The 14,817-nt window shown below is 35.1% G+C and overlaps 1 protein-coding gene across 38 annotated transcripts in view; it reads right to left on the bottom strand.

Annotated features, from left to right (window-relative positions):
• ZMYM2 (zinc finger MYM-type containing 2) overlaps positions 1-14,817 on the bottom strand; it is a 225,276-nt gene that overhangs the window by 60,822 nt on the left and 149,637 nt on the right. For 35 of the 38 annotated variants that reach the window (NR_148365.2, XM_047430584.1, XM_047430585.1 and 32 more), the window contains 3 exons: positions 8,676-8,747; positions 1,532-1,682; positions 976-1,091 (listed from right to left, as the gene is read on the bottom strand). Coding sequence is in view for 37 of the 38 variants with exons in the window: in XM_047430584.1 (XP_047286540.1) it covers positions 976-1,091; positions 1,532-1,682; positions 8,676-8,747 (339 nt within the window). In the remaining variant the exon portion in view is untranslated. Of the gene's footprint in view, positions 1-975; positions 1,092-1,531; positions 1,683-2,918; positions 5,615-8,675; positions 8,748-14,817 lie in introns of those variants that run through there. The other 3 variants (XM_047430602.1, XM_047430603.1, XM_011535223.3) reach the window with 2 other exon arrangements.

Below are 14,817 nucleotides of genomic sequence, written 5' to 3'. Positions count from 1 at the left end.
TACCACTGTAAGGATGTATCAATGGCCATGATCCCAACTTCTGAAATAACAAGTTAAGTCTTAAACGTGGTTTATCACCTAAGCTCAGTGAGAATATTACTATTAACAAAAACTGACATTCATTTGAATTCAAAAACACCTCAATTTAAATACTAATAAGTGATATAGTAACTATTATACTTAAGAAACTATATTTGCAGTTTAAATAAATTAACATAGAGCACAGTACCTGGAATAAAGCAGAATTGTTGGATGAATTAACTCATGAAGCATGGCTTTATGCACGGGTTTGAACCTTTGGGTAATACCCTGAAATTTTCACACACAACAGGTAAACCTAATCGTATCACCTAACTAATGCTTGAATTCCCTCTAAACTATTCCTTCCTAGTGGTCAACCAGGTTAAGTTTGAACGCTTCCAAGAATCTATCTTCTGAGACTATCCATACTCCAAATTTGAAAAACTATGTTAGCAAGTCTTTCTTTACATTTACCAAAATGAAAAATGTCTCCCTAAACTGATCTTGTATTAAATTAAGGCCTAGTGTAAAAAATCTAATTCCCTCTTTACATGGTCCATTTCTAACATATGAAGAAAGCAAGTATTCTTATCACTTCTAGGCTAAATACATCTAGGTCCTCTATCCGTTTGTCACATAACAGTTCCCCTTACGGTTCACATTTTATTCAAACTATCTAATAAGAAAAAACTACACATCAGCACTGAACTATATTAAAATTTCTTTTCCTTCAAAATCTGTATCAGAGTAATAATTATAATCTCAATTAGACTATCCAGGCTAAAATAGAAAACTGGTACAGCCACATATTCTGTGACTAGGATATCCACCTTCCAATTTGACCCTCAACAAGCTACGTAAAAATTAAGATAAAATAAAGCATATTATATTACACTGATTATTTTCTATGTGTATTTTATTGGGGGCATGGGTTATGCAAAATAAACGACAAACCTGAAATTTAGCCACACAACTGGAATTGCAAAAGTTGTACAGTTTTCCATCAGGCATTGTGGCTTGGTATTGAGGTAAAGAGTTTCGCTTACAAAAATGGCAAATAATTCCCAAACCTAGGAAAGAAAAGGTACATATCTGATTTGTTTATAAAGTAATAAAAAAGTTTTTTTATCTTAACTACTGAGATCATAGAAGTTTCTGTTAAAAAATAAACTATTATTATTTGCACCTTCAATACTGAAGATTATGTGCACTTTTAAAATATTGTCATAACGGACTCTGATATTATGCCACTAAAACATACATAGATATAGAGAAAAAACTCAGTTTTGGGTAATTTTTTAGATGGAGTAACAATTTTAGTTAAGAACATAGACATGAAGAGAACTAAAAAAGTAGTACAGAATAATCAAAATAATTAGAACAGTTTTCAAAAAGATTAATATAAAATAAAAAGCTGTTAAAAACAAGCATAAAAACATCAAATGAGTATTTATGCAAAAATTAATTACGTTGTAAAGTTTTTTTAACTGTCCAAATATGTGAAACTTACTTTGTGATTTTGCATATTTTGTCTTGTGACTGTTCATACAAGCAGTTGAACAATATGGCTCCATATATCCATTAGGACCTATACACTGAGTCATATCAAAAAACCTGCACTGTGTTCGGCAACCAGTACAAGTTGTCAGTTTTCCATATTTCTAAAATTTGAAACATAAAAAGATAATTTTTAAGACTACAACTTAACTAGAAAAGAATTACCAATTTTTCATTACACTTTTTGCCTCTGCAAAACAATCCTGTTAATCTCTAAACAGGTTTAGAGTCATGAGTCTTCATCTACATACAAACTATTAACTATGCAACAACTGCTAAGGTCCAAACAAAGCAATGATCATCAGCTAAGTCGCCTTCAAAAACAGAATGTTTTTCTCTCTATTATATTTAGTTTAACAGAATCCCTACATAGAGTTAAGTAAAACCTGAAAAATTTAGGAAAGGCACAGTGCTTTTTGTTTATAATGAGGACATACTTCTTTGTCATTTGACAAAATCAATTAAATGGAGCTATGAAATATAAGCCTTAATAATAAAAAGTATGGTGAAGAATGAATTTGAAGATTTTAAATCCTTTTCCCACTGAGCTGCTATTGTTCCAAGCACTCTTGGAACTTCTCTTAAAAATGATTTATCACCTATCTACTACATTTGAAATCTCATTAAACCACAATAAAATAAAAAAATTTTTTTGAATTAAAAAAATTTAAACCACATTCAAAATGACTTCTGGCTATAAAATGAAGTAAATAATTCATCAATAGATAATAATAAAGTTAATCCTCCTGCCAAAAGTGAATACAGTAATGTGCCAAATAACGATGTTTCACTCAGTGATTGTAATGCCATATTTCTACTGTACCTTTTCTATGTTTAGATATATGTAGATACACAAATACTTACCATTGTGTTACAACTGCCTGCAGTATTCATTACAGTAACATGCTGTACAGGCTTATAGCCTAGCAGCAATAAGCTATACCATTTAGGTTTGTTTGAGTACACTCTGTGATGTTCACAAAACAAACTTGTCTAACGATGCATTTTTCAGAACGTATTCTTGTCATTAAGCAATGAATGACTATATGTGCCAACAACAACAACAACAACAAAAGGAGATAAAGAATATGAGGGCAGGGTGTGGCTCACACCTGTAAACCCAGCACACCGGGAAGCCTAGGGAGGTGGAATGCTTGAGCCCAGGAGTTTGAGACCAGCCTGGGTTCAAGCAATTGCCTGGCTATTTTTTTTGGTGGGGGTGTATTTTTTTTGTAGAGAACTGCTTGAGCCCAGGAGTTCAAGAACAGCCTGGGCAACACAGCAAGACCCCATCTTCCACAAAAAGAAAAAAAAGGTAGAAATAAAAACGAAAGGCTAGCCTTCAAGTGCAAGTTGTTTTGATCCTCTGAGTGGTTGCAGAACTCTGTCATAGTCAAGTTAAATCAAATATCACAAATCACGTTGCAAAATAATTGTATCCATTTTCCACCTCATGTTGCAATTAAATCCGTCTTCATACCCACGAGCATCTATACAATATGAAAATATAAGAAGGCTTCGAAATGTTCCATGGATAGCATAAATAATAGGTGTTATAGATAACAATCAGGCCAAAAATAACAACTGAAATGAATACACTGCATGGAAAAATGTCACAAATACCACAGGGTTTCAGAAAATGAAGGTAATAAATGGAAGGTAAAAATAAAAAAATACAATCAACATCAAGAAAAAGGTCTTTCAGCTTGAAACGAATAGAAAAAGTATAAGAAAACATAGCTGTTTATGTGCCAGGAATGCATGTTCATTATCATCTTATTAAAACCACTTACGCTGCCTACTTCCTCATTTACTGAAATATCAACTAAAGGAAGCCCTCAACTTTGCTTTTCAAAGTGGAAATGAACTCATTCTTTAATGATAGGTCCTCCTTCAAAAATATTTGTCAACTGCAAAAGAATGGTGACAAGGAAAAAATAAAAATGGCTGCAAACATACTATATCTCACTATGATGTGTAAATATAATAGAAGAGAATGCTCTGCTTTTTTTTTTGTTTGTTTCCTGAGGTCTATTTGATGACTTAAATTTCTATACTGGAAAAGGGACAAAAACAAAGCAAATCAATGAAACAGAATATAAAATGTTTAAAACTTGAAACTACAGTACAAATTAGTAATGCTATAAAATATTCGGGACAACTGCCACTATGTTGCAAGTTTGCAAGACAGAAAAATCAGCTCCCACTAGGTGTCTGTAGAAGGCCTCCATGTATCAGCACCTACAAAGAATTCTTTTACTCATATAAATTAAGTTCCACCATCTAATCAAATCATGGATTTGATTTCTATTTGAAACATTCTTCAAACTGACCGAGTGAGTCTATTCCTTGGATTTGTGATCCCAACGCTGATTTTATTGGCAGAATGATTAAATAATTAGTAACAGTTTTAAGACATCAAGTAAACATGGAGTTAGGCAACTGTTTCATACAGACAAATAATTTTATCTAAAGAGAATGAAGGCCGGGTGCAGTGGCTCACACCTGTAATCCCAGCACTTTGGGAGGCTGAGGTGGGCAGATCATGAGGTTGGGAGTTCGAGACCAGCCTGGCCAACATGGCAAAACCCCGTCTCTACTAAAAATACAAAAGTTAGCCAGGCGTGGTGGTGCATGCCTGTAGTCCCAGCTATTCAAGAGGCTGAGGCACAAGAATCACTTGAACCTGGGAGGCAGAGGCTGCAGTGAACCAAGATCGTGCCACTACACTCCAGCCTGGGCAACAGAGTGAGACTGCCTCCAAAAAAAAAAAAAGAAGAAGAAAAAGAAAATGAGAAAGTACTATCAGAATGACAGAATCACTGAGAATATTTCAATACTGCCACTTGCACAGCTACCGCTGCCTCAAAGAACCAATTAATGAAAGAACATTAGCCAAAAGGGAAATATAATTTTATGCCATGTTTACTCAGCTTTATATGTAAGCAATCAAAATAATCATATTTAAATTTCATACAAATTTATATGCGTCCTATAAACACACATTTAGTGATGTAAAGTTTTGTGGAATAAATTCAGAATTAAAATATTCCCTTTTTGGGCATGGGGAAAAATAAGCCTACGTATAATTTCAGTGAAAAAGAATGAGATAGAACCAAGTGAAACAAGATATGGATAAGGTAAAACGTAGATATGATGGGTAAGTTTATGACAAACTGGCTCATTTTCAGTCTACTCATTTAAAAGATGTACCTTATATTTTAATTTTAACCAATTTCACGTGAATGTCAAAACTGTCACGATTTTACAACTTCTCCCAAATTTTCCTTCTACATATAGGAAGTATATTTCATTTGGTACATTTGGACCAATCAAGTAGACCACATGGGAAGGTAATCAAGAAAGAATGGCTTGATGTACCTGCTGCTGCAAATCTAATTTAGGAAATGGCGCCCCAAGATATAGGCTGCATATTATCTACTTTCCTAGCCACATTCAAATACAATATAAACTTTAGTCTGTGACATCGCACAGTAAAGAAATTACCTTTATATTTACTAACCTCTAACTGAAATTTAACATTCTCTTTCACTCTGATTGGAGGCAACAAACTTACTTCATTAGTTTAATAGGGCCTATGACTGTCAAAAATAAAAATTCCCAATTTTTATATCATTCTTAGTATCCCTTAATATATCAATTACATTCAACTTTACTTCAAAATTATAGTTATTAACCACTGGATTTTATTCCTAAATACATTAAAATAAAGCAGCACATTTCAAAAATTTAAAAAATATTTTGGTAACTGTATTTTGATATAATTGGTTGTCTTTGTAATCATAGGTATTTTATGCATTTAATAACATTCTGAGAATGAATCTGTCCTTATTACCAAAGGAATCCAAAGCACTGAAATAGTGAAGAACCTTGATTAGAAGAAGTGGCAATAAAACTCAAACAATGACATAATATTGTAATATTTATTATACTAAATAAGATAATTTCAAGTAAAAATTACAATTCATTTATTCAATAAAACCTGGAAATCATCTCTTCATATTGCAAGATTTGTCTGTGCAGAGAAAAAACGGTTTAAAAATGTATATACCATCATGTTTTACTTTTCTCTATTACTGTTTAATTTACAATTTTTCTTTTAGCAGACTTATTCTAACTTTGTAATTTAAGGATTTTTTTCTAATTGACAACAGATGCTAAAAATAGTGGGTGAAAAGTTTGCTTAACTTAAACAGATACAGAGGGAAAAATAGCAACTTTACCCTGGAGAAACCTGACAGACATCCCCTTAAACAAGTTAACACACAATAATGGAAAACATAGACATCATGTGCTTCCTGATGTGCACGAAGAGGGACACAACACCGCTTATGAGGTATTCATGCCAAAAATGCATTACCTCAATCTAATCTTGAGGAACTATCAAACAAACACGAATTGAGGGATGCTCTCCAAAGTGGTATTCAAAATGTCAAGTCATAAAAGACAAACAAAAACTAGGGAACTATTTAGATTAAAGCAGAGGTAACTTCCACTCCCAACTAACAGAAATTAGATTTAAACCTCCCACCCACCTTTAACAACTAGAAAATTAGACACACACACAAAAAAACAATGGTTTTCAAACTCTACACACAAGGTAGCACAGAACTGTATACCTAACAAAAGGGAAACAAATCAAGTGAGTCCTGTGGCTGCCAAAGCTTGAGGCCTAGAAGTAGCTGGGGGAAGGGGAGGTTAACAGAGCCTACTTACTAGTTTCACTGAGTTGAGGAAACACAAGTCTTTCAAGGCAGCTAGAATTTGGGAAACAGAGTACTGATGATGATGGAGCTGCACAAAAAAGCTCTGATCTTAAAAATACATCTACCGACGTATTTTGGCTGAAAACTGATCTGTGATCTTAAAACTACATCTACAGACATATTTTGGCTGAAAACTGATCTGTGCATTCATGAGAAGAAAGCACCTGTGGCCAGAGAAAGAACCCCAGAACCACAAGAAAGCATTAGGCTAACAATTCCCAAAGAACACACATGGCCAGGAGTACTCTGTATTGCTACCTGTTCAAGAGTAGGATGACCTTGTAATACGGGGGATGATTCAGATCTCTCCAGGTATCACCGCGGTAGTATGAATAAATAGCCCCAGGCTAAAGTTTGCTCTACCAAAGTCTTTTCAAAAACTTAAAAGCAAGCCTCAAAAGGATCCAAATAATTCGAGGTTAATTTGACAGGATGCCAGAACAAAGTCCAACAAAACATTTAAAATAATACAACAAAATCCAGCAACCAATAATGTGAAATTCACAATATTCTGAATCAAACTTAAAAATGACAGGCATTTTGTCAAAAAAAAAAAAAAAAGCAGGAAAACATGACTCATTACCCAGAAGAAGAAAAAAAAAGAAAATCAAACTATAGAAACAGATCTAGAAATGGCAGATATGAAAACAGTAAGGCCGGGCGCAGTGGCTCACGCCTGTAATTCCAGCACTTTGGGAGGCCGAGGCAGGCGGATCATGAGGTCAGGAGATCGAGACCATCCTGGCTAACACGGTGAAACCCCGCCTCTACTAAAAATACAAAAAATTAGCCGGGCATGGTGGCGGGCACCTGCAGTCCCAGCTACTAGGGAGGCTGAGGCAGGAGAATGGCGTTAACCTGGAAGGCAGAGCTTGCAGTGAGCAGAGATCACGCCACTGCACTCCAGCCTGGGTGACAGAGCAAGGCTCCATCTCAAAAAAAAAAAAAGTAAACAGTAGGCAAAGATGTTAAAAGAACTATTATAAATATGCTAATATATTAAAATATTAGTAGAGGAAAACATGAACATAATTAGGCAGGAAATAGAAGATACAAAAGAGACAAATGGAACTTTTAGAGACGAAAAACATAACATCTGAAAAAATATGCTGCATGGTATTCACAGGTGATTTTAAAAGATCAGCAAACTTAAAGATACAGCAATAGAAACTTTCCAAAATGGAGTACAGAAGGAAAAAAAGACTAGGGAAAAACAATACAAATACAAACCACAATGCAAAATAAATACAAAACAGTACAAAAACAATACAAAACAATACCAAAAAACAAAAAACAAAAAACAAGCCTCAGTGACTGTGGGAAAGTGGCAGGAATTATCTGGAATTGGGGTCTCAGAAGAAGAGAGTTGGGAAAAGGCCTAAAAACTATATTTAAAGAAATAATGGGCCGGGCGCGGTGGCTCACGCCTGTAACGCCAACACTTGGGAGGCCGAGGCAGGTGGATCACCTGAGGTCAGGAGCCTGACCGACATGGAGAAACCCTATCTCTACTAAAAAAATACAAAATTAGCCGGGTGTGGTGGTGCATGACTGTAATCCCAGCTACTTGGGAGGCTGAGGCAGGAGAATCGCTTGAACCCAGGGGGCGGAGGTTGCGGTGAGCCGAGATGGTGCCGTTGCACTCCAGCCTGGGCAACAAGAGCGAAACTCTGTCTCAAAAAAAAAAAAAAAAAGAAGAGGAATAATAATAGCCTATGATCCTGTACTGGATTCTAGACAAGAAATAATTGTTTTTCATTTGCTGTAAGGGACATTAACAGACAAAATTTGAATACGCTCTATTGACTAACCTGACAATAATAGTTTACTGATGTAAATTTCATTATCTTGATAACTGTACTACAGTTAAAAGTCTTCCTAATTTTAAACACTTATTACTCATTACTAATTCATTTATCTGGATTAACAGGAACACAGACTTAGAAATTTTTTTGAAAGAAAGGGTTTTTTTTTTAACTTTTCAGGTAGGCACAAAAGAGAGGATTTTTATATCCCTTTATTAAATGCCTACTGTGTACAAGGTATTGTGCACTAAAAAAATCTGAAAATAATTTCCTAAGAACATAAATAACTAAAGACAAATGAGCATATCACAAGAAAATACATGTAAAATTAGTGAAATTAGAAATCTATGTCTCAGAGATAAAACATTCATCATTTGATACAATTTAAGTTTGGAAATTTTAATATATTTCAAATTGGACAAGATTTTTCAGATACATATTAATGACAGTAGTAGCAGTGCTCAAAAATGTTAAGGCCTTGAACTCCATTTACATTCCTGCTTACCTCAGGCTGCATTAAGAAAGAGTCCTGCATGTGATCTCGAACCTCCTTCAGGAAGCTTGGATGGCTACCTACCTAAAAAAAGATTTTAAAAGACTTTATAAACACACATAAAGAATAGCTGCTACATTGAAAGGTAAATAAGCATTATGTAAAAGTTGCTTCTCAATTATATTTTGTGACTTACAAACTCATTCCAACTTTTAAAAATGTCTGCCTGTCCTGTCCCCACTACTGTTGCCCAACTTAAAGAATTATCAAATAATTTTATCTTAGAAAAAATGGTATGATGATAAAACAGTAATAATGGGCTAAGGAATTAAAGATAGATACTTAGATCTGACTCACCTCTAATTTCTGAGTAAAATCACTTCTAATTTGGAGTGTTCTAAGATCTCTTTAAAAACTGTTAACACTTATAATGAAACTCGAAGCTTTCTAAATTAAGTCATTTGGAGATTATACAGCTACAATTTCCACCATATGCAAAATGGATTGAGAAATTGTTTTTTTTTGTTGTTGTTGTTGTTTTTTTTTTTTTGAGATGGAGTTTTTGCTTTGTCACCCACGCTGAATTGCAGTGGCATGATTTTGGCTCACTGCAACCTCCACCTCCTGGGTTCAAGCGATTCTCCCACCTCAACCTCCTGAGTAGCTGGGATTACAGGCGCCTGCCACTACGCCTGGCTAGTTTTTGTATTTTTAGTAGAGACAGGGTTTCACCATGTTGGCCAGGCTGGTCTCCAACTCCTGACCTCAAGTGATCGGCCCACCTGGGCCTCCCAAAGTGCTGCGATTACAGTCGTGAGCCACCGTGTCTGGCATGTTTGAGAAATTCTTTTGAAAGCACATATGACAGTTTCCAGCATATAATACGAATACATATCCTTACTCCTTGCACAAAAGTTTTAAAAGATATGCTTCCTGCTTTCCATGAAAGTCAAAATACTATGCTAGAAAAGGAAAACTACTGAAAGGCACAGGACAAGCATTATACAGTCTCCACTGCCAGGATCTAGATTATTAACTAAGTGTATCAATACACTTCAGAAACTAAGTGAGCAATGAGAGCACAGATAAACAACAAAAGGCAGCTAAGTTAAATATAACAGACAAAGGACAAAGGGGGTGAGAGGAAAGTAAGGAAGGATTATGATACAATTTTAGCTCCCAGGTTGCAGAGAAAGAAGACATTCACTATAGCATCTCATGTAGTTGTCTCCAAACACATCCAATTGGGTCTCTTTATCAGTAAAATAGTAAGGCATGGACTCCCACCTATTTATTTAACTAATGAATTATGAACATATAGTATGTAATTACAAAACATGCAAGTAATTTTAAAGAATAAAAGAAACACTATTTTAAATAATTTTTATTTATGTAATAATAGTACTAAGAACATTTTCTCTATCCACTGAAGAAGAATCATTTGGTGTCAGTAGAGATTATGTGGGGAACAGTATAAGGAACTCCTACTCCTCTAGTCAGGGTGGTATCAGCTAATGTCCAGAAAGGAGCCAGAACTCCCATATCCACTCAGCAATAACAAGAAGCTGCTTCTCCCTCACAGATGTAGAGAGGCCAAGTAGAGAGGCCGACCTTTTAACTCCACTTGGCAATACCATAGTACTCAAAATGTTCAAGTTTCAAATAAAAAAATCATTTATCATGCCAAACACCAGGAAAACTAGAATTTAAATAGAAAAGGACAATCAACAGATGCCAACACCAAAATTACAGAGATATTGGAAATACCTGACAAAGATTTTAAAGCAGTCATCATAAAAGTGCTCCAATAACCAATACACATGCACTTAAAAAACAAATGAAAACACAGAAACTTCTAGAAAAGAAATAGAAGATATACAGAAGAATAAAATGGAAAGAATCAGTGAACTGGAAGACAGAATAATAAAAAGTACCCAACCCGAAAAACAGACTGGGTGGGGGGAAAAGTAAAACAGAGCCTTAGGGATCTGTAGGCTTGTAACAAAAAAAAAAAAGTAACATTCATGTCACTGGAGTCCCAAAAGGAAAGGAAAAAGAGGACAGAGTTAGAAAAGTCCTCCAAAAACACTACTGTTTGAAATGTCTCAAATTTGGCAAAAGACATAAATCTACAGATAGAAGGTTAGCAAACACTAGGAAGGATAAAACCCAAAGAAACACCAAGATACACCAAATTCAAATTTCTGAAAACCAAAGACAAAGAAAAAAATCTTGAATCTGGCAAGAGAAATGACACACCTGTAGGTGAAATACAGTTGAAATAGCAGCCTAGAGAAACAGTAAGACAACAGCTCCTCTACTCCACAGACCCTAATCCCATTCACACAAGAAAAGGCCAATTAGCCTAGACTTCCACCCTGGCCGGGCTACAATGTGATGCCTCACCCCAGCACCCTAGCCATGGTAAAGTCAGAGAAGGCCAAGTAGGAAACTTGAACTTCCACCCCACTGGGTGGTAATTAGACACCTTAACCACCTCTACCCTAACTGAGGTGGTCTGACCCAGCAGAAAGTCAGAGCTTTTACCAACAATTTGCAGTAAAGAGGCCAAGACTGATGTAACAGAACCTGAGGAGCAGTAAAGGAAAGAATGAAGTAAAGTAAGCAAAAGCCTAAGGGGCCCATGGAATAAGATCAAATAGACCAACATGAACTTTCTGAGAGTTTCAGAAGAAGAGAAAGGGGCAAAAGATTATCTGAAAAATTAATGGCTAAAAACTTGCCATATTTGATAACAGACACAAATCTACAAATCTAATAAACACAACAAATTACATGTAGGATAAACTCAGAGACACACAATAAGACACTTTATAATCAAACCGTTAAAAGACAAAGAAAATACGGAAAGAAGCAAAACAGAAATGGTTCAGCACAAGAAATTCTCAATAAGATTAACCATCAATTTCACAAAAGAAACAACCATGGAGGCCAAAAGGCAGTGGAATAACATTTAAAATAATAGAGAAAAAAAAGCTTTCAAACAAGAATACTATGTCCAGCAAAACTATCATCCAAAACTGAAGGAAAAATAAAGACACACAGATAAAAGGTGGAGGGAGTTTGTTGCCACTAAATCTACCCTACAAAACAAATGCTAAAAGGAGTCAAAGCTTTTTATTGAAATGGAAGGAATACACTTGACCCAATCTTTAGTAAATATATGGGAGAATACAAAACAAGTATAATTGTATTTTTGCTTTATAAATCCACTTTTTATTTCCTACATGATTTTAAAGACAAATATGCACACAAAATTGTAAATCTATATTACTGGGAATACAATGCTTAAAAATGTAATCTATAACAAAAAGAGGGAACAGATATATAGGAGCAGCATTTTTAAAAGCTGATTAACTTGTTATAAATTCACATTAGATTGAATTATAGGATGTTATATGTAAAGCCTCCCCCACAGTAACCACAAATAATATATTTAAAAACAATACAAAGACAATGAGAAGGAAATCAAAACAGTGCACTACAATCAACTAAACATAAAAGCCATAATGCAGGAAATGAGATACCAAAAAAAAGGTATAGAATATACCGAAAAAAAATAGAAAAATGGCAGAAATAAATCCTTCCTTATTGGTAATTATGTTAAATGTACATGGATCAAATTATCCAATCAAAAGGCATCATTTTTTTCCTATTCTGTCAATTTCTGCTTTTTGATCGGATAATTTGATCCATGTACATTTAATGTAATTACTGATAAGGAAGGATTTATTTATCCAAAGATACAAACAGGTCAAAAGTAAAAGGATGGAAAAAGATACTCCACACAAATAAACAGTAACTAAGAGAGTTGGGGTTGCCATATTAATATAAGGCAAAAAGAGCCTATATGTGAAAAACTGACACAAGAGACAGAAAAATACATACTGAACAAAGGGTCTACTTACCAAGAAGATATAACAAATATAAACATATACATACCAAGTATCAAAACCCCCAAAATACACTTAAATAAATTAACAGACGTAAAAGGAGAAATAGACAATAACTGAGGTAGAAGCAGATAATTGTACAATAATAGCTGGAGACATCAATACACCATTTACAATAGTGGACAAACCATCTAGACAGAATTTCAACTAAGTAAAGACAAATCTTGAACAACAATATAAACTAGAGTTATTAATAACAAACATATATTGAGTATTCTTGCCAACAACAGTAGAATAAACATTCTTCTCAAATGCACATGGAGCAATTTCCAGAATGAACTATGTTAGGCCACAAAAAAGTCTCAATAAATTTTTGAAGACTGAAATCACACAGAGTATCTTTCCAATGAGCAATGGAATAGAACTAGAAATCAGTAATAGAAGGAACACTTAGAAAATTCACAAATATGGGGATATTAAACTACACACTCTTAAACATGGCTCAAAGAAGAAATCACAGGAAATTTTTAAATACTTAGAGATGAGTGAAAACAAAACTAAAAGAATACCAAAAGTTATGAGATGCAACTTAAATACTAATCAGAGAAAAATTTATTTAAAATTTTAAATGCTTATGTTAAAAAGAAAGAAAGTAAGTCCAGGCACGGTGGCTCACACCTATAATCCCAGCACTTTGGAAGGCTGAGGCGAGCAGATCACCTGAGGTCAGGAGTTCAAGACCAGTCTAACACGGTGAAACCCCATCTCTACTAAAAATACAAAAATTAGCCAGGTGTGGTGGCACATGCCTGTAATCCCGGCTACTCAGGAGGCGGATGCAGGATAATCGCTTGAACCTGGGAGGTGAGGGTGCAGTGAGCTAAGATCATGCCACTGCGTTCCAGCCTGGGCAATAGAGTGAGACTTTGTCCCCAAAAAAAAAAAAAAAAAAAACCTAAAGTAAATAACCTAACTTCTCACCACCTTGAGGAAAAAGACGAGATCACTAAACCCAAAGCCAGCAGAAGAAAGGAAATAATAAAGATTAGAGCAGGAAAAATAAAACAGAACAGAAAAAGTGAGAGAAACAAACCCAAAAGTTGGTCATTTTAAAATACCAAGAGAATAGACACAAAGAATAAAATATAGGAGACATTACTACCAGCATTCCTGAAGTAAAAAGTAGTACAAGAAAATGCTATGAACAATAGTACATTAACTAATTACACAGCCTAGATGAAATGCACAAATTCCTAAAAACACACAAACCACCAAAACTGACACAAGAAGACATAGAAAACGTGAACAGACCTGTAACAATAGACTCAGTCATCAAAAATGTCCTGGCCGGGTGCAGTGGATCATGCCTATAATCCCAACATTTTGGGAGGCTGAGGCGGGTGGATCATGAGGTCTGGAGATCGAGACCATTCTGGCCAACATGGTGAAACCCCATCTCTACTAAAAATTCAAAAATTAGCTGGGCGTGGTGGCAGGCGCCTGTAGTCCCAGCTACTCAGGAAGCTGAGGCAGGAGAATTGCTTGAACCCGGGAGGCGGGGGTTGCAGTGAGCCAAGATCACGCCACTGCACTCCAGCCTGGGTGACACAGTGAGACTCTGTCTCACAAACAAACAAACAAACAAAAAGTCCCAAAAAAGAGAAGGCCAAGATCAGATGACTTCACAGGTAAATTCTACCAAACATTTAAAGAATTAACACCAATTCCCACGCTTCCAAAAATCAGAAGATACAAGATGTCTCACCCACCCCATTCTATAAGGCCAGCATTACCCTCATTTGAAAGACAGATAAAGACATCAAAAGAAAGAAAATCAGAGACCAGTATCCCACAAGAATATAGATGCAAAGATCCTCAACAAAGTACTACTAAACTGAATTCAATATATTAAAAGGATTATACACCATAATCAAGTAGGGATTTATCCCAATAAAAGTGTGGTTCAACATAAAGAAATCAATCCATGTAACGTACCACATAAATAAGAGCAAAGATAAAGACCACATGATCATCTCAAAGGATGTAGAAAAAGCATTTGAAAAATTCAACACCTTTTTATGATTAAAAAAACTGAATAAAAAAAGTAATACAAAGAAACTACTTCAACATACTAAAAGCCATGCATATGAACAACCCATTCTAACATCAGACTCAATGGTAAAAAAATTATTTTCCTCTAAGATCAGCAACAAGGACGCCCACTTTCACCACATCTATTT

This window comes from Homo sapiens, chromosome 13, assembly GCF_000001405.40.
Source record: "Homo sapiens chromosome 13, GRCh38.p14 Primary Assembly".
Classification (NCBI taxonomy): Eukaryota; Metazoa; Chordata; class Mammalia; order Primates; family Hominidae; genus Homo; species Homo sapiens.
The sequence above is the reverse complement of the archived record's forward strand: the minus strand, read 5'-3'. Positions and strand labels throughout refer to the sequence as shown.